General features: G+C 33.3%; 1 long non-coding RNA gene across 3 annotated transcripts in view; it reads left to right on the forward strand.

Annotated features, from left to right (window-relative positions):
- EDIL3-DT (EDIL3 divergent transcript) overlaps positions 1 to 21,715 on the forward strand; it is a 35,237-nt gene that overhangs the window by 5,740 nt on the left and 7,782 nt on the right. For all 3 annotated transcript variants that reach the window (NR_183295.1, NR_183296.1, NR_183297.1), the window contains exon 3: positions 11,424 to 11,491. This is a non-coding gene — a long non-coding RNA (EDIL3 divergent transcript). The remainder of the gene's footprint in view (positions 1 to 11,423; positions 11,492 to 21,715) is intronic.

Raw genomic sequence — 21,715 nt, forward strand, 5'->3', positions numbered from 1 at the left:
AGGTATACATTGGATTTGGGCATATCTGAACTGGAATATGGTCTCTATCATTCTAACTCCTTTAACTAAGTTAAAGTCTGTTAAGTGCCAAACCTCAGTATTCTCATCTGTAAAATGAAGGTAGTGATAGTATCAAACTGATAGTGGTAGGTTGTGGTGGTGCACAAAAGGGCCTAGTCCAGCACTGGACACATGGTGATGATGATGAAAGATAATGATACTGATAAATAAGAAGACAATACTAATATACATAATTCCAAAAGAATTTTTCTTAATACGTGATCCTCTTCACTCCCCGTCTCCCATCCCCATTAAATTACCTGGAATTTTTTAGTCCATCTTTCAGTTTGTCAAGCAACGAATAACACTAAAGGTAGTCTTTTTTATTATCGTGTAATTATGGAATTTTTTATTATTTTGCATTTTAAAACTTTGTTTTGAATTTCCAAAACTTTTTATTTAATATCTAAAATGTCTTTCTACTAAAATTTTGCTCTCACCGTCTGAGACTCAAAGCAGAAAACCCAGCCAAGACCATCTCAAATTCTGACCTACAGAACTGGGAGTTAATAATTGGTGTTGTTTTAAACTGCTGAGTCTGTGGTAGTTTGCTATGAAGACTAATATAGTTGGTTACTATTGTTATTCTAATTTCAGGGAGAAGGAATAAGTCATGGAGCGGTTAGGTTAATTGTCCATCCTCTCAAGTTAGTAAGTGTTGGAGCCGATAAGTGAATCTAAACAGCGTGAATCTAAAGCCCACTGCATACTTCTGCCAACAATTATGAAGGGTCGACTGTATGCTAAGCTCTAATGCATTTTTACATATATTGCTTTACTAAATAGGTTACCTCAACAACCTTTATGAGGTAAATATTATTATTATTTGCATTTGACTACTGAGGAAACCAAGAATCAAAACCTTTAAGTACATTGCCCAGGATCAAGGTGGCGGTGAGGAATGGAGCCAAGAGCTAGTATCAGAGCCCTGCTCTGGTTCCAGTAGTGATTTTCACAGCCATTGTGTTAAAATGCCTATTTAGACAGTGGTCTAACTTACTTTATTTATTGACATTTTCAATTTCAATGGTTATAATTATAATTGTCATTTTTTAGTACAGTTTGCATTTCTCCCTGATCTTCTTGATGCATCATTTTAGAATATACATTGCTGAAATGTAGAATTTCAAGCACATTTTAAATTCTCTACAATATTTGCATAACTCATAACACTTTTCTTCATTGCTCCCACAAGCACCAAGATAATTCTTTCCTCCAACCCTCTGCTCATGCTGTTATCCCCACCTGAAATGCCCTCTTACAAATCCTACTAGCTGAATTACAGTTTCCATTTAAGACCTCCCCGAATTATTCTAGCACCAGAGAACCATCATTTCTTAGAATTAACAGTGCTTTTAATTTTTTTTCTAGTTGTTTCACTTGTGTTAATCTTATCTTTCCAAAGAATTATATGGTTCTTACCATTTAGATAACTGCATGTCTTAGACATAGCTGAGTGTTATGTTTTAAATTTCTTCAGTCTTTCCACTGTGAACACTAAGGAAAATTAATTTTTAAGACTACAGATTTGATACCAAATCCCTACTTCCTAATATTTCACTGCCTGATTCCCTAATGGATGCTCTTTCCAGAAAATGTGTAGGGTCATTAAGCAAGAGTGTACCTTTGCTTTCAGAATTTGACCCTGGTAGGAGAAATTTCTGGTGCTTCTAATTCTTTCCCTCCAGTTTCCCAGTCAAACTCATTTCAGTGACTTGGTTTTTAGCTTCCTGAAATATGTTTGAATAATTAATATATACACACAATAAAAGTTCAAAGGTACAAAAGAGTGTGCAGGAAAATAAAAGTTTTCCTCCTAATGACATTCCCTTCTTACACAAGGTTATTCCCTCAGGGCCTACTGCTGATATCTAGTAGCTATGCTTGTGTATCCTTCTAAAGATACACAAACACACCCCCCTATATATGTGTGTTTATATGTACTTGTGCATACATGTGTGTATATATAGTGTGTATATGTGTACACACATACTTTTTACAAAAGTTACTAAATTATACAATCATGGATCTTGCTTTTCTTCACAAACGTTCTGTGTTTTGAAATTGTATCAAGGACTGCATAGTATCTGTATATGTAAATCCTTTTTGATAGACATTTAAGTTGCTTCCAATCTTTTGCTATTGCAAGCAATATTACATGAATACACATTTTGCACATGTGTGCAAGATAAACATATTAGAATAGATTTGTTGAAGTAACATTGTTGGTGGGGGGAATGTTCATATAAAATTGTGATAGATATTACCAATTTGCCATTCATAAGGTATCTATGAGTTCACCCTTCCACCTGTACTGTATCAGACAGCTTGTCTCTCTTTAGTGTGGCTGATATGATTCTTAACAGTCTTTGAAAGACAAAAAAAGGTATCTCATGGTTTTGAACACCTATTATTTTTACTGGGTTTGAGCAACTTTTCGCATATTTAAAAATAATTATTTTCTTTATGTGAACTGGCATTTCATGTATTTTGCTTTTATTTCTACTGATTTGCTAACCTTTTTATTGATTGGTAGGAGATCTGTATAAGGAAATTCATCCATTTGGGGTCACATTAATGTCAAAAAATTTATCCAGCTGGTTCTTGTCCTTTAACCTAGTTTACACCTATTTGTTTGATTTTATTGTGCTAAAATTGCTAAAATATTTTATATTTGGGTGATGAAATTTATCCACCTTTGCTTTAAGATTTCTAGGTTTTGATATTTGCTAAGATAGGCTTTCAGTATTCTGAATTTATAAACATATCTTACAGTGTCTTATAGTAGTTTTATGAATATTTCATGTGTGTTTTTACAATTCTTACCAAATTAAAATTTGAGAGATAGTATTTGTTACTATCTTACTTGTTCTCTCAAAAACTACCAGTAATAACAAAACCATATATTGAATAAATCCATATATTTCAAATTAATATGACATGCCAACTCACTCACTTAGTCACTATATATTTGGCTCTACTGCTTGCTTTTATAGACTGTTCCATTGGGTTATCTATTCGTGTGCCAGTACTACATGCCTAATTGTTGTTTTAATTTTTTTTTAATAACTACTAGGGTAAACATCATCTACTTCTTTTTTAAAAAATACTCCCTGACTAATGTACATTTATTTTTTTTCCTACATGAACTTTAGAGTGAGCTTGTCTAGTTGAAAAAAACATAATAAATATATTTATAGTATTAGTATACCTATGTATATATCCAATTTTCTTCTGTGTTTCTCTTGTTAAGTTTCTATTTAGATATTTTATATTTTTATATGCCTACCTAAATGCAAATTTCTTCATTATATTTTGTAACTGGCTCTTCTACATTTATAGGAAGGCTATCTTTGTGTGTGTGTGTGTGTGTGTGTGTGTGTGTATGTGTGTCTATATATGTGCACTAATGTTAAACCCAGTTACTTTATAAATTGTAAATTGTCTTTTATAATTTACATTATTAGCTTTTTCGTTTATTATTTTGGGTTTTCTAGACATAAAATCATCACATCTGAAAAGAACTTTAGTTTTACCTCCTTACCTCCTCTTCGAATTTTCATGCTTATTTTTTCCATCAAATTGTTATAACTGGTATTATGTAATAGATTTTAAATAAATGGACACACTTGGACTATTTTTCACTCTAATGGGACCACTCTAATGACCTCCAAGGCACAGCACAAGGACTCTTGTCTCCCATTTCCAGTGCATGCACTACAGCCATTTTCTCTATACCAGCATTTGCTCAGAAAAAAAAAAAAAGAGTAAGACATTAACATCAGTGTAGGAAGGAAATAAGTGTCCATGAATATGCAGGATAGGATAAAGGAGGGAAATTATCTTTTCTCTACAGTAAATAAAAAGAGGCTTATCAAGAATTGGTAGAATTGGATGTCTTAAGCTTTGACGTTGCATTTGACAGAAAATTGGAACTCATTGTCTTTTGATTTAAAAGAAAGGGATGATAAAATCTTCCACACCCACCATAGCAGGAGTTATGTGGTTATCTAGGGAAAAACGTATTATAATAGGCCAAAGGACCGTCTTAGACTATTTCCCCTTTTATCTAGTTTTCATTGCCATATTCTTCTCTTTTCCTCCGTTTATCACATTGCTGAAAATTGAGTCAGAGATTTATTTATTTAAGATATAAAAGATACCTGATACATCAAGCATAGTAATTGGACCAAATATGAAACTAAAGGAAATCTAAAGAAATAATGTGTACACCATCTATAAATAAATGTCAAGGGTTATGAATAGAGAAGATCCTCTTGGGTTTTCTTTGTTCCAACATGGGCTACAACTTAAAGAGAAAAATCTGTCAATAAAAAATTATTTGTTTTCACAATCACTGTTTTATTTAAAAAATAAAACGGAAATGGAATATATTTTAATATATGTTATTTTGGGCAACCGCAATTTAAAATATAGCTTGTTTCTCAGCCATTGGAGAATATCATTTAATTTTATGTGTTTTATATTGATACAGATTCTGTTCTTTCTGTCTGTAGATAAAATGGGTCTAGTAGTACATTCTCCCTAAAATATACAGTAATTAATATATTTCCTTAAAATAAGATAAAATACCCATGCATGTCTCATAGCACAATTGTAATTTGTCTTAAATTTATCACTATATTAATATAATATAAAATAATTTATTAGAGATTTTAAATATATACATTTCTTCAAAAACCATAATGCTAATATTAAAATTGGAAAAATTAAGAAAATATCATGATTTCAATACGAAGCTAAGGTCCCAGAAACATTAAATAAATTAAGAAAGGCATGATGTCATTATGTTTTCAAAACATTGTATAGAAAGAATCACCTGGTTTGAATTCTTATTTTTGTTTTGGTCCGTCTCAAAAACCTACATTTATACATGATGATGATATTATTAAAAAAGAAAATTATAACAACTTAATCTTTTGCTTTTGAGATGATTCATACAAAAGTAAGAATTCAAACCAGGTATAACCTTTTGAAAACACAAGGACATCTTTCCTTTCTTGATTTACTTAATGATCCTGGGACTTTAATTCTAGTAAACTTCTAGTTTCAAAAACAAAATTATAAAGCATATGTAAAACAGACAATGATGCAAAATTGCACAATTGCCTGTCTTAATTTTTAAAATTCAGAGATTTTAGTTTGATTCACATAATCATTTTTTTCTCAAGAACATTTATATGGATGCAACTTGATTTGAAAAGCAATTTGTGACCTGAGATATTTAAAACTGTACATTTTGATGTGACAAGTTGTAAACTGTATAGTAAAAGCCAATTGAATTGAGAGCCTTCACTCAGTCATCAACAAATAAAATTGAAAAAAATTCTTTAACTGAATTATTATTTAATCTTTTATTATGAGGCATGCATTCTTGAATGTTTTCCAAAACATAATCAGACATAAAATTGAAACTACATACTACAAGTCAATTTAAAAGCATGATATTTAATTGATAAATCTGGCCAATCCCTTTAACATTCATAGTGGAGATGAATAAATTAAAAAGGCGTCAAAATGGAAGATAGATGACCCTGCTAAAAAAATTTTTAATTGCATTCGTCTACTTTTAAAAATAAATCCCACATTGAATTTAATATATGAACTATTTTCTAGTCCTTTTTTTTTTTTTTTTGTAGAGATGGGGTCTCAAACTCGGCCTCAAGCATTCCACCTGCCTCAGCCTCCCAAAAGTGCTGGGATTGTAGGCCTGAGCTACCACACCTGGCCTCTAGTCTTTCTATTTATAAGTAGGAGATATAATAGCATTTAGGGTAAGTGGTGGAAACTTTTGCAGTTTTTCCTGTAACTATCTGACTCAGCATCAGCTGAAAATATCCTTGTATTATTTTAACATTTTCCTTTCCTCTACTAAATAATGTGTCACTCTGGCTATGCCCTGAGGTGGTGACTCAGTTCTGTCTAAGACGCTGCCTAGGGATCTTAAGCAATGATTGAAAATACAGGAAGTTTTCCCCTTAGAAAAGCCCTGGTTGGCTGGGCGCAGTGGCTCACACCTGTTATCACAGCACTTTGGGAGGCCGAGGCCGGCAGATCACGAGGTCATGAGATCGACACCATCCTAACACAGTGAAACCCTGTCTCTACTAAAACTACAAAAAATTAGCCAGGCACCGTGGCAGACACCTGTAATCTCAGCTACTCAGGAGGCTGAGGCAGGAGAATTGCTTGAACCTGGAAGGTGGAGGTTGCAGTGAGCTGAGATCGCACCATAGCCCTCCAGACTGGGTGACAAAGTGAGTCTCCATTGTGAAATAAAAAATAAAAAGAAAAAGAAAAGCCATGGTTTTGATAACTAAATGCAGAGACTATTGATCCACAACTTTTAGCCAGTTTACTTTAATTAAAAGGAGCTTCTAGGCCTTTTACCTTTTATATTTTTTAGCCACAGCAAAATGTTTTATTGTTTTATCTGTTTTACATTCTACTGAACTTAGTTTTAATTATTATATTTCTTTTAGCTCTTTAATACTTAATTTCAGTTTTTTCAAATGTAGAAGAATACTCTTATGAATTCTCTGAATAACTTGCATTTTTAATAAGGAAGACAGACAGCCCTTTGCTTCTAATTAGTTCTGTAAAATCCTTTTAATGCTTTGAAACAGATATCCTTTTTTGGGTCTCAAATGGCACCTTTGTCCTAAAACACAGTCTTATGGAGGAAATGGATGGCATAGACCCTAAATCACTGTTCCTGGCAGTCACTGAGACTTTTGGCTAAGGATTTCTTCCCACAGGAGCAATAAGCACCAACTCGCAGACAGCTTAGGGTAAAGACTAGAGTATTGTTGCTTTCTAATTTCTAAGCCCGTTCAGTTCTTGGTAAATGAGTTCATAAATTTAAGGTAATTTTCTGACAGTGGCTAAGCCTTCCATTTAGCCTATAGCATGGGGTAAAAATAAAATCAGAAGCCATCATAATTCCTTTGTATATATGTATGTAAAAATAACCACTCCATAAAATGTTTTGTAAGCTACAAATATTCTAATGTAATTTCTATTTTATTTTGAATTTTTTATTATTAGTTATTTTTCTTATATTTTTTCTTTCTTCAAGACATATCAAATTAATTTTCCCTGGCCAAATATTTAATAAATCTACTGACTTAAAATGTCACCTTTTTCAAATATTACTTTTCATACAAACATGATCCCTTGCATACAGTTCCATTTTCTCTTTTGTGTTTTCTGGTACCAAGACCTCATAGTTTGACTTTTATGAATTTCTAGTATATATTGTACTTGATAAACTTAGATGCCTTTTTTTTTCATTAAAATATATCCCATTGAAACTTGGGTTTGCTTCAATTATGCAGGTCAATTTGAAAATAGCTTCTATCTTTATAGAACTATTTTATTTGTTCTTAAATATGCGTCTCTGCCTATTAGCTTCTTGAATGTCCTTTAATGAAATTTTGCAGATGTCTCTTTCTTACTCTGTCTCTCTGTCTTAAATGCTTTTCATTATGTTTGTTCAAAATATTATGTTCTTTTGTTTCTGTTATGAATTATATCATTTTTTGCCATTATGTTTCTAAGTGACTCTTTGTTGTATTAAAGAATTTGTCACTTGTCTTACTCTGTTTTCTGTTGCTCAGAACAGAATACCTGAAATTTATGAGTAAAAAGAATTTCTTTTTTACGGTTATAGAGGCTAAGTACTCCAAAGTTAAGGGGCCATGCATGGTGAGAGCCTTCTTGCTGGTGGGGAATTTCAACAGAGTTCCGAAGCTGCCTAGAGTATCACATGATGAGGGGGCTGTGTGTTAGCTCAGGTCTCTCTCACCCTTCTTATAAAGTCACCAGTCCTATTCTCATGATAACCCATTAATCCATGAGTGGATTAATCCATTCATGAGGGCAGAGCCATCAGGACCCAATCACCTCTTAAAGGCTCCACCTTTCAATACTGACACGTTGGGGATTAAGTTTCAAAATGAGTTTTGGAGTGGACAAACATTGAAATCATAGCATCACCCCCATTCAAAGTTCTTTAGTTCTACCAAATTTTCTGAGTCCTTGCTTTTTTTTCTTGCAAATAATTATATATGCAAATAATGTGGGCTCCTTTGCTTTTCCCTTATCTATATTTTACTTTGTTTTGTTAGTTGTATAATGTGACAACAACTACTTTTACAATTAGTTGCATAATGTTGCAACTAATAAAGTATTTTATTTATAATTCTAATAAAGTATACTTTATTAGTTGCACTTCTGAAACAAATCTAAGTAACTCTCAGTGGTGTGGACTTCTGTGGTGTTGTTTCCAGGCTACAGTTCAGAAGTGTGCAAATGTGAGCAACATATGGAAACATATCATGTGCAGGCTTGTGTCTGCCTCCAGCAGGACTCTCCTAAGTACTGAGCTGCAAAGAAATATATACTATATTGTATCTTTTTGTATATATTTCTAAAAAAGAATACTGAACCATTTAAACAATTTTGTGATTAAAAAGGTCTAACAAAAAGGTTAGTTGCCTGATTGATTTTTGTCTCTTTAAAAATAGGCAAAGTAGAAAAGAAAGGTAGATGGCATAAAATGCAGCAATGTCTTCCCAGGAAAGAGAGCGAGAAGTGTTTCTCACTTAGGCTAAGGATATCTAGATGGATAAGTGCTAACTGGAGCTCAGAGTACACACTTGGAATGGAAGAGGTTGGAAAGCTGGGAAGAATGGATGGCATGGTCCTAGAAAAGGCTGGAAGTGGAACACAGCAGCCACCAGGAAGCCAAACACCTGGATAAAGTATTACAAGTAGAGACCTCAGTCTCCCTGGCACTTCTACAACCAGCAGAGAACTTTAAAAAATGGGAAATTGTCTTTGGGAGGCCAAGGCGGGCAGATCACGAGGTCAGGAGATCGAGACCACCCTGGCTAACACAGTGAAACCCCGTCTCAACTAAAAATACAAAAAATTACCTGGGCGTGGTGGAGGGTGCCTGTAGTCCCAGCTACTCGGGAGGCTGAGGCAGGAAAATGGCGTGAGCCTGGAAGGTGGAGCTTGCAGTGAGCTAAGATTGCACCACTGCACTCCAGCCTGGGGCACAAACCGAGACTCCATCTCAAAAACAAAAAGGGATGTTGTGAGGTTGTGAGTATTGTCTGATTTTTACTTGCTTTCTGAAAATGTAAGATTTTATTTATTATTCTGTGTTGTTATTATTAAACATTCTATGAAATAAATCTCAAGAATTTCTGCAAGCAGGAGTGATGGCTGTCTAGTACAATTTGTTTTATTGAACTTTATTGTCAATGTGTCAAGTAAAGTTTGCTTCTTTCATTTAAGAAAAGATAGACAAGATGATGAGTAGGGAGCTGTTTTCACTTTGACTTGAGCTACCTCACAGTATTAGAATGACATAAGTGTCTAAATATTATATCCTATGTTTCTACTGGGAACATCACCTGATAACATTTTTATCAACTAAATCTCCTGATCAGTGATTCTCTTTGGTCAGTTTGACAGTGAATTTTGTCTTACCTGTGAAGTTAAACCCATGATAAGCACCGCCAGCTCCTGTCATCTTATACTGTTTTCCTCTTTGTATATTCAGCTCTATTTAAGTTTTCTCAGGCAGTTTGATCCTTACTCTCAGTTAATCTCCAACTCACTAGTAATGAAACCTTATCATGAGACATTCAATCATTCACCTACTCTTTCATGCATTACAAAAATGTACATTTACCATATACTATGTCTCAGGAATTGTACAAAGTTGTTTGTTTTAAGCCACTAAATTCAAGGTCTGCGAAATGCTAAGATAATATTTTTCTTCAGTGGTGTTATTGTGCAGCCCAAGCATTTCAGTAATTTCCTAGTCTTCAGTAAATTCACCTGCATACAACCTTATTCTCCATACGTATACCAAAAATCCTGGTCTCCCAGGACTGCACATCCACTTAAACTAAAAAAAATATGGGAATCTATTTAGCTTTACACAACTGGGACAACAGAGTATCATAAGGAAACCAGACCCCAGATCAATCCTTTTAAGCCTTCTCTGTGAACGTCTGTGTTATCTATTATTTAAAACAAAAATGCTCACTAAATGCCTACTGTGCTCAGGCAAGCCACATACAGCAGAGAAGTGGACCTAGTAGACTATAATAATGGATGGCGGCAAACTGGAAAATGCACGCCCACTTTAAAGGGAACAGCAAGCTACCCGGTTAGGTAGACAAATTGTTGTCTTGTAGGATTATGGAAGCAGCGTGGTCAGATTTGTTTTTTGAAACCCAAAATTTAACTTATAATTTCTCAATTTTTAATGTGCAGGTATAATTCAATACATCTACAAATTAAATAAAGTATATATACTTATAGTAATTGTATTTTTTACATAAAAAGAACTTTCATTTCAATAATTGACTAAAATAAATTAAAAATTGATCAACAAGCCTATTATCCTTACTATCAAATAGCACAAAATAGAAAAACTTATGTCAATATTTTAAGCTAATTTGGATAAGAACATTTTAAAAATGAAAATAATAAGATAAGTTAGTGACTAATTTCTCTGTCTACATAAAATGAACACAAAACTTCTGTATGTCAGAAAATCATGAATTAAAAGGTAAACTTCAAAGCAGAAAGAATATTTCCCAGTGATATCTGACTCTCATACACCACCAGTGAGACTATTGATTGCCTCCACCTTTCTAAGAAACAATTTGACAATATATATCAAGAAGGATAAAAATAATATAAGCTTTGACCTAGTGAACCAATTTCTAAGAATTTATACTAAGGAGACTGCTTGAAATAGTTTCATGTATGATTAAAATTTTAGTTACGTGGGTGATTATTCTAGAATATTGATTATATCACATAAATTATTTCTCATGTTATTTATTACATCAAATATTGGAAATAGGCTAATGTCCAACATTAAAAAGGATAAATAATCATAACCAATTCAATAGAAATTATTTTATAATCTTCATAACATGATGGTTTTAAATAATTTTTAAGATATTAGGCAAATGCTGATGTTTAACTTAGCTTTTTAAAATATCATATAAAATCACCTATAATCTACCACTGGTTTTTAATGACTGTTTGCAGATTAGAGTATAACTTTTGGTAATGTTCCTGAATGCCTCCGAGCATAGCACATGAATATGTATATCTTACCACTTTTGTTTATCCCTCCCTTCCTACCTTGATCCTCATCTCTCTTTCTCATTATACACTAAGCAATGTATCATAGATACATTCGTGGTTCATTACATTTTTTGGTGTAATTTGAGATGAGTATGCAACATTCCTTCGTATAACAACTACAAACATAAGCATCTAATCCCTTATTTATTGCTTTTTAGGTCATCTGCAGTTTTTTGTTGTTGTTGATGATCTTCCTGTCATAGACAATGCTGTAACAAACAGACTAGTAAGTATACCTGTATAAACTCCAGCAACTTTTTCTGTAATGTTTCCTAGTTGAGAGGTTACTGGGCAAAAAGCAGACACGTATAAAATTCTACTAGATATTCTTAGATTTTCTGTAAAGTTAGGACCAAGTTAAATTTTTACAAGTAGTGTACCACAGTACATGTTTTCCCCAATACTAAATATTAGCAAAGTTTTTTGAATTATGCAAACCTGATAGTCAAAAAAACCTCATTATTGTAACTGTGTTATCTTGACTGCTAGTGAGGTTACACCTTCTTTTTTTTCTTTTGCTTTTTGACAATAACTTTCATCTTAAATGAATTTTTTTTTTTTTTTTTGAGACAGTTTCACTCCTCCCAGGCTGGAGAGCAGTGGTGCCATCATGGCTCACTGCAGCCTCAACCTCCTAGGCTCAAGTGATTTTCCCACCTCAGCTTCCCGAGTAGCTGGGAGTACTGGCATGCACCACCATACCTGGCTAATTTTTGTGTTTTTTTTTAATAGAGAAGAGATTTCACCATGTTGCCCAGGCTCGTCATGAACTCCTGGGCTCAAGCTCTCTGCCCACCCTGGCCTCCCAAAGTGCTGGGATTACAGGCATGAGCCATTGTGTCCAACCTGAATTATCTATTTACATTCCATGCCCATTTTTTATTGTAATATTTGTTTTTTACATAATTTCACAGAAAGTTGTAATCAAAATGTTAGGAAAGATTATTTCTAAGGAATATTACAATGAGTATTTTAAGATTGAATTTTAAATTTTTTTCATTTAAAATTTTATACGTGTATCTTTTTTATGCTATAAAATTATATAACAATTTTACTTAAAAGGCAATAAAGGATATGATGATCAGCATGTATGTCACAAAACAATATAAAGATTCCATATAATAGAAACCCATTTTTATTCTTATAAACCTCCTGTAATTCAAGGCTCATTTTTATACCAGTTATTTGACTCCAGCATCACTCATACAGCATTTCTGTATGTCTTGATAAGTCCACAGGTTTTCTACTTTTTTGAGCTAAATCGTGATGAAGCAGATGATAATCTGAGGCTCGCCTGCTATATTGTGAAAATCCCTCTGTGCTTGTAATAAAGGCTTCATCTCCACAAGACCTAAAGTATGTGTCGAGTGTATAAATGGAACTCTTTTTTAAATGGAAAATACCATATTACACTAATTATTTGTGTGAATTACTCATTTCTTTATTTTAATGTAAAGTATACATTAAGGCTTCTAGAAAAAGAATTTTGTTTGTTTTCAAAGATAAAGAAAAGCAATACACTTTTGAAATTAATAGAGAAAAAAATAACATCTCAAATAGAATTGGGCTAGTATAGTGCTGATTATCTCTCTCTGTTGTATGGTTTATGTTATGTGTGGTTGTTTAGAAACATCATTTTACTAATCTTTGGGATATTGTATCCAAGGTAGCCTGCAGAGTTTTGCTGTTCAATTTATCTTATCTTTAATATGGATTTGTGGGCTCTTACAGCCATCAGCTATACTACGAAAAGGTCCTCTTTTGTTGCTCCTTTGTCATTTACTTCTTGTTTCCAATCCATCAGCACATCTTTTATTGAGTTCCTGTTTTGTTAAAGGCAAGACTCTAAGGAAAAGGCAAAGAATTATAGGAATTACAACCTGCCCTTTAAAAGCTCATAGTCTGTGTGGGAGTGGAAGGACTATAATATTTAAAGAGAATTAAGATAATTTAATAAGAAGTGTTTCAACAATTAACATTGAAGATTTTGTTTTCATTTTGTTACTTGTTTACAGGTTTTTACCTGGAATAAAATATAAATGTTTTAGTGCCCATAGATAAGAGAGGTGATAGGGCAGTGAATAACATAATATGTGTGTCTATAATATGGTTGTAGGTATAGACTGTATATAGAAAAATAAGAAGAAAAAAACAAATTCTGAAAGACTCAGAAATAAATCTGTTACTGAAACTATTTGGTGAAGCCTAAGCTATTGAAATGCCAATAATTGATTTAAAATATATTATTTAGCATTGGTCTCTTTAATTGCAGGTAGCCAAAAACTCAATTGGGAAATTGTTGTTTCCAAAAACTAAATGGGAAATTATTGTTTATGTGATTGAACATGGAGATCTTTCATGATTCAGCGATGGCTGGATTCAGAGGACCAAAGATTGGTACAAGCAGTGACTTTTCTCCATCTCTTGGTTCTCTCTGCCCCTGTTTTGGCTCTGGCCAGACAAGCATGCCCCATTGTGGTGCAAAGAAGGCTATGGAAGTTTCAGCCTCCTATCATTCTGGGTTTTAGTATATATAGATGATATCTTTTTAAAGTCAAGTTGAAAAAAGCCCAATTCAATGCTTCAAATCGAGGAGCATGACTATCTCTGAGCCAACCTCTGTTGATGGGAAAACAGAATGCACTAAATGGCTAAAGCCTGAGTCAAATATATACCGCTGAAATAGGGGATTTAACCAGCTCCACCAAAACAAGCACACTGAAAGTGGGGTTTGCCACTTCTGAAAGGAAAATTTAAAAAACAAAATGGTTTGTAGATGATCTACAAGCAGGAGGCATGATGTTATGAAGCAACATAACTATCAGTTAGGGGATTGTGGGGCTTCATCTTTAACACTTATAGTTCACATACTTGTATGTTTTGTATGAACATATGAATAGAATGTTAACAAGGTGGCCAACATATCTAAATGTTGTTTAAAAAAGAGAATTTCAATGTTAGGTGGAGTGTTGGGGAATAAGCACACAGGTAAAGTGTTAAAAGAAATCAGTAGGCAAATTTAACAGTAAATATCAACACTTTTATAACTGTTTCAACATATTACCCACAGTCATATCTTGAAATTCATCATAAGGGAAAAATTGGTCAAGCAAAAATGAATATATATGTTTATTGCATATGCTTAATATCAACATGGGAAAACCACTAAATGATGAAAAATAAAGAATTAATTGAATAACCCGCATACTGAAATACTTTGGAAGCATTGAATATTATAATTAGTTTTTTGTTTGCTTGTCTGTTTGTTTTGAGACAGAGTCTTGCTCTGTCACTTGGGCTCAAGTGCAGCGGCATGATCTCGGCTCACTGCAACCTCTGCCTCCGAGGTTCAAGCGATTCTCCTGCCTCAGTCTCCAGAGTAACTGGAATTACAGGCATGCACCACCATGCCTGGGTAATTTTTGTATTTTTTCAGTAGAGATGGGGTCTCACCATGTTGGCCATGCTGGTCTTGAATTCCTGTCCTCAGGAGATCTGACCATCTTGGCCTCCCAAAGTGCTGGGATTACAAGCAAATATTATAATGAGTTTTTATAAAATAAACTATTGCACAAAAAAAAGTTAAAAAATAGTATATGTAATATGATCATATTTACATGTATGAATTCTTAGAGAAAGTTTGGAAGGTTGTTTACTAAGATATTTTAAAATTGATTATGTCTATATTGTGGGGCTAGAGGCAATTTTTGTTTTTGCTTAGTTACATTTTCTATTTTGCGAAATAAAAAATTGTAATTTTAAAATTAATAATAGAGGGAAATGAAAATTTCTTGATTTTCCATTTCAAAGTAAAAGACAATTTCAGTGACGTAAAAAATAAATGGGTGTTAGCATAGTTTGAGTAATTTAGGTTTATTTCTTTAAAATATATGCAAAATATGACACATCAGTTAGAAAAAGAAAAAAAAAGTGACCTGTGTGTGTAGGCTTGTGTATGTATGTGAATACACATATATTTACATATACATTGTATGTGTACAACTCTCCCCTTGTTTTTTTTCAGATTTTACATTATAGTTAGTTTTAACTAAATGCCAGCTTTTTTCCCAATTACCAAGCCACTGAATTACATAAAAAGTATAAAATGGAGCATAGCTATAGTGCGTCCGGAATATACATGAGCCAAAGAACCTTGCAGTTCCGAGTGAGAAGAGAATTACAGTGCTAGTCTCAAAAGACCCTTGAACACACATCACTCATTTTGAAATATAGCACTTGAAGAAAGCAAAATAAGACTTTGAAAGGTTTATTGGAAGATATTGCCAGTATCTTGTGGAATAAAATCTACCATGTTTCCAAATATTTATAATAACTGACATACAAAATGAATACAACTATCTAAATCCAAATAACTTTTGATTTAAAAGGAAAACATAAAGAGGTGCATGAGGGAATCACAGAATGTCAAATCTGGAATGTCCTAAAGATCATCTAGTTTTAATCTTACATTTTATAAATATGACAAGCTGGAAACCATGATGCAAAATGACTCACCTGAAGTTCTGCAGCTCATTGAGGGAAAATTCAAGACCAGATTGCCTGACTCACAGTCTTTGGTTTTGTTGTTAAGCTACACTGCTAAAGCAACCACAGATGAGCTCAGTACTCCTTGGATTTTCCTCCCTGTGGGTCTGGAGAAACAATGATTTGGCTTGTGCTGTCAAATAATAGATACAGCCTTTGAGTCAAGTAAACTACTTTTCTCACAGTTTATTAACTATGTAACTTTGGACACATTAGTTAAGCTCTCTGAGCCTCACTTTCCTCATGTTTTAAATATTTAAATAATATCTCCATAAAAATATTGTGAAACCTTTATGTTTTGGAGATTACATGTATGAAGAGAACCTCATATATACCAGGTTTAAAGCAGATTGGCCAATTTCCAGTCTTACCAGACAATCTTGCACAGAACTAAAACTGATCAACCTGTCAGCTTAAGAATACTAATAAGCTAATTGCCTTCAGCATTCTTTTTTAGATGGCCCTTAAATTTTGTCTAGGATACAAGAAACTGATTCTTAATTCTCCATTTACTGTATTTAGTCGCCTCTTTTATTTTATTTAAGACAATCTGACTTTTTATTACAATGGGAAGGGAGATAACATAGACATTCTTTCAACCATGTTTTGTCTAAATTTCCAGAGTGTGCATTTCATCTTTTCACTCTAGAAGATAATGTATGTGGGCATTTCTTTTATTAGGCTTCAGAATCTTTTTTCTTTTTTCTTTTTTCTTTTTTCTGAGACAGAATCTCGCTCTGTCACCCAGGCTGGAGTGTGGTGGTGCAATCATGGCTCACCACAACCTCTGCCTCCCCAGTTCAAGTGATTCTGTTGCCTCAGCCTCCCAAGTAGCTGGGACTACAGGCACTCACTACCATGCCTGGCTAATTTTTGCATTTTTGGTAGAGATAAGGTTTCACCATGTTGGCCAGGCTGGTCTTGAACTCCTGACCTCAAGTGATCTGCCCACCTCGGCCTTCCAAAGTGCTGGGATTTACAGGTGTAAGCCACCATGCCCGGCCAGGTTTCCTAATCATTTAAATTAGCTTAATTTCTATTTGCTTCAAGACGGTTTATCTACAATGTATGTTTCACTGTCGTTATTTAAAACTACACATAAATTAATAGTAATATTCTACTTATAGAGGCGATTAATCATTATTAATATCTGGGGAGACTTATTTATACTATTTCTTGAGATTAAACTATTTTAAGATCTCATTTTGATCAGTAAAAGTTTATTATATAGCTTAGGTAGTATCTCTCAGGCTCCAACCACCACCTCAGGGTTGTATATCCCATTAGAATCAAGGAAATGGAACACAACCTCAGAGAGACCTTAAAAGTACAATGCTGAAAGCAAAAGGCATTTTCAACAGTCCAATAAATCATAATGAGGTTCCATCATCAGGGTTTTCAAAAACCACCAGAATAACCCCTTAGCACCAAGAGTACCCTTTTAGCATAGAAAGGGAAGTACTTAATGGGATGAAAAAAGCTGTGGGTTCCATTGTGAATAGATCATTCTAGGAAGTGCTTAGATGGGAAATACTGAGTAGAAGCTACCAGGAAACAGATTTCAGCCTGTAAAATGAAGAACACTTAAATATTCAGAACTTTTTAACGCTGCCAAGGAAATGGTGAATTCTTTGGCACGCAGCTCTTCATGAAAAGATTGGTATATTTAAACCTGCTCCATCATTTCCCTAAAATATGAAAAATTTCCTTATTCAATTTATTTTAGGGAAAAATGACAAAATATAGTATTAAAAGTGATTCTTAGATTACAAGAACTTTGAAATCCTCTTTACTATGATATTAAAAGTAATTTGCAATGTTAAAATATAATACTGTTTAACGTGTATTTCAAAAATCAGCTATTGATTTAGTACAAGAAAATAAATAGCTTTAAGTTTGACTGTGCAATGATCTTTAAAACCATGATTTTTGTAGACATTAACCTGATATTGTGTTAAAATTAAAATAACCATTACATTTTAAAATTAAATCAATTAAAGCAATTATAATATTTTAACTAATTTCTTAGGTTTGTTAATTTCTTAGTTTTAGCTAATTAGATTAGCTTTAACTAATTTCTTAAATTAGTGGCAAGCCCAATAAATCCAATGCAAGTCTTTATGTTTATCTTTCTGTGTTGAGCACATATATGCATGCACGTGTATTTTGCAGTTGGATACTGAATAAATATAAGAAATGCTCCATAGATAATGACAGGATTTAGAGAAGGAAAATGTAATAAAACAGAATTGTGATGCATACTTATTTAATTAACTGTATTATTTCCAGAAAAATTCTGTCAATTAAAATAATGGTTTAAAATAGTAAAATAATAAAAACAATAATATTTAAATTGATATTTATTAAAATATTTGCATATATTGCTTATAAAACATATTATTATTACATGAAGAGGAGTGAAGTCAGGAGTGGATTTTGAAAGGAAATTCAGGACACATAACTTCCCTGTAAGATAACATACTGAGAGCTTAGATCAAATTGTTGTAGTGCTTGAAATGTTTAAACCTGGATGATTAATATAAGTTCTCTGGGGTTCAGTGTCCTCATTTTTATAACAAGTATGTTCAACCTTCAGATGAAATTTCAAGCTAACAAACAACAAACAAAAATAAACCAAAGCAAAACAACTGAAAATCTTACAATAAACAAAAAAGTCTACTATATTTATTATACCAAATCAATATATACTATATGTGTCACAACAAAACAACAAAAAAGCTTCCTGTACTTATTATGTCAATTCAATTCATCCTATGTGTCTGGTGTCTTGGTGCTGAGGATACGGTGATTTTTTTAAAAGATAACAAAAATGAATGACAACAACAAAACAGCCAGCTTCCTGACCTCATAGAGCTTTCCTTCATTGGGTCCCCTGACTTAATTTTATACCAGCTTTTTCCAAAAGATAAATAACTGGATACCAATGTTTTAACTGATAATGCAATCTCTGGGCTTGAAAACCATTTTAGTTTGAAATGTGTGCATTAAAACAATTGTTTAACTTGACCTAAATATGTATTCAAATCATATGAATTCATGGCCTTTATGCTCACAAAAGATATTTTCACACCTGGTAATATATAGTTATTATATATTGTAGTAGAAAATTTTAAAAATATTCAACAATGAAGAAGACCTTCCTGGGTTAATGACTCTGCAATGTGACCTTGCTGATACAGCCATAATGGAGTGAATTCTATTTATTCACCTTCTTGTACCTGGGATGATCTTGATTTCTTCCTTTAGTGAACAGAATGTGACAGATGTGATGTTGGGTTATTTCTGGAGTTTAGCACAAGAAGCCTTGGAGCTTCTCCTCTCTACATCTTAGAACCTCAAGGCTACCATGTTGGAATGGAGTTCAATCAGGCCTATGTGAGGTTGACAGGAAAATCAAAATTCCCCAGCTGAGAAGTTGTACTAATTTCTAGGCATATGGGCCATCCAGCCCAGGCCCCCTTCAGCTGAGTGGAGTCCCATGGTGAGCCCAGGCAAAACCAAAAGAGGAGTTACTCAACCAACCCACAGATTTGGTTGAAATAGTAAATTATCATTGATTTAAGGCACCAAAACTTTGAGTGGTTAGTTGTATCGCATTAGATGACTGATTTTCCTTATTTTACTAGATCATTTCCTTATTTTACTAGATCATATAATAGGGCACAAGAAGTTGTAGTCATTGAAAATAAATGCAGAATTTATTGATTTTTAGAATGACACCATAAACATATAACTCTACTGAGATGCACAATAGCAAAAGTGAAAAAGAGGCTATCCATCAGCAAAATGGAATGTGAACAGTTTTATGACTTGTTGAACGTATATATTTAGTTGGTATACTTGAATGAATAAAACATATAATGAAGTATTCCATTATCTTACACAACTGTGCAGGATGTCTACAAAAAAAGTAAATTTGAAGAGTGAAGGCAATTATCCTTTTAAAACAGATAGTTCAAAACCTCCTTAATTAAGGAAAGAGAAGAGGTGTAGAATGAGTCAAGATTGCAATCACAGCATAATTAATCCTCTAATTCTTTGACAACTGGACTGTAATGACTTAGGTTAAAGCACAGAACTCCATACTAATACAATTTATAACCCCCCTTTTAGAAGATTTTAGGTCCTTAGATGATTGAATACAACAAATGTGGATTCCTATTTATTGTTTTCCATGCATTATAGAAAACTATTTATATTTAATCAATATTTTACAGGTACATTGACTCCTACAATTTACTTCTTTCTAAAGCAAGTGTTCAAGTGTTCTCTTCTCATGGATATTAACAGAACATGATAGAATGACTTTCACTTTCAATTTTCTAGACATTTTGAAGGCTGCTCTATGGAAGCATCCATTAGACTGAATATTTCTAAGGTCCAGATGCAATCTCATTTATCACTGTGTTCCTTGGGGCCAACATTTTGCAGTTCTGTAGAAGAAGGTAGTTTTTCAATAAATGTTGTCCTGTTGAATGAATGATTATAAGACTGTAGTAAATCTGAATCTTTATAATTCAGATTCTTAGTAGCTATATGATTCTGGACTAATGTGATCTGTCCTCTCCTATGTCTTTTCCATAGCATAACAAGAAAAATGTTGACTCCCACAGTTTGCCTAGGCAAAGTTGAATGTATTACATGACTGCCTTTGTATAAAAATCATTGAAGAAAAAATTATTTTCAAAGTACATGTGCTCATTATGTTTATCAAAATTCTGACATACAATTATATTATTAAAGGAGAATCAGTAGAAAAATGGTAGAAAATTGTGTGTAAAGTATAACACTTACATTGCAGTGGAAAAATCTTTGCAAAAAGTCTGGAACGGATTAAAGGGAAGCCAGATATTTTTCCACTACTGTGGCACTTTCCATGGCCATGCTCACTGTCTCAGGATTACTGAGCTCTTATTCCTCCTTTGCATGGTCCATGTACCTAACTCCTTTGTCTTCAGCATGAGAGAACACAGGGGCATACTGAACAGAGAGAAAGAAGAACTTTACGGAACCCATTATCTTGCACTGTTCTTTGACTTTGAAATGATTTCTCCAATGGATAAGTTTTAAAATATTTTTTTCAGAGTGTATTGATTTTCAAAAGTACTTTGTGGTTTCCTTGTAGAAAATGCACTTAGTACTAATAGCATGCTTAAACTTTGCCTCTGATGTTACAGAAACAGACCATTTTTTCCAGAAATAAAGACAGACATATTTTTATTTTAGAATAGGCTCTCTTTTTTTCCCCATGTGTTTATTTTTGGCTAGAGGCTTACCACCTTTTACATTTTATTATTTAAAATAAAGTAGCCTGTAAGCTAAAAAACTAAAAATAAATAAACAAAAAGAATAATAGTAGTAAAAATGAAAATTACTAAGTATAATTGATAATTGTAACAAAAAATATAAAAATTATCTTCAAATATTTGGACATAGGATAGTTGAAATATGCATTCAAAATGTCTTCAAGGCTGGGCGTGGTGGCTCATGCCTGTAATCCCAGCATTTTGGGAGGCCAAGACAAACAGATCACCGGAGGTCAGGAGTTTGAGAACAGCCTGACCAACATGGTGAAAACCCATCTCTACTAAAAATACAAAAAAATCAGCCAGGCTTGGTGGCACATGCCTGTAATCCTAGCCACTCGGGAGGCTGAAGCAGGAGAATCGCTTGAACCCGGGAGGCGGAGGTTGCAGTGAGCTGAGATCACGCCATTGCACTCCAGCCTGGGCAACAAAGAGCAAAACTCCATCTCAAAAAGAAAAAAAAAAAGTCTTTGATTATTGTGTAGACTTTATCAGTTTATTTTATTGCCAAATATCTAAAATATTTATGTTATTACATATTTTAGTAAAATAAAAATATACAGCAGCCAAATGTGATT

Source organism: Homo sapiens, chromosome 5, assembly GCF_000001405.40.
Source record: "Homo sapiens chromosome 5, GRCh38.p14 Primary Assembly".
NCBI classification, from domain to species: Eukaryota; Metazoa; Chordata; class Mammalia; order Primates; family Hominidae; genus Homo; species Homo sapiens.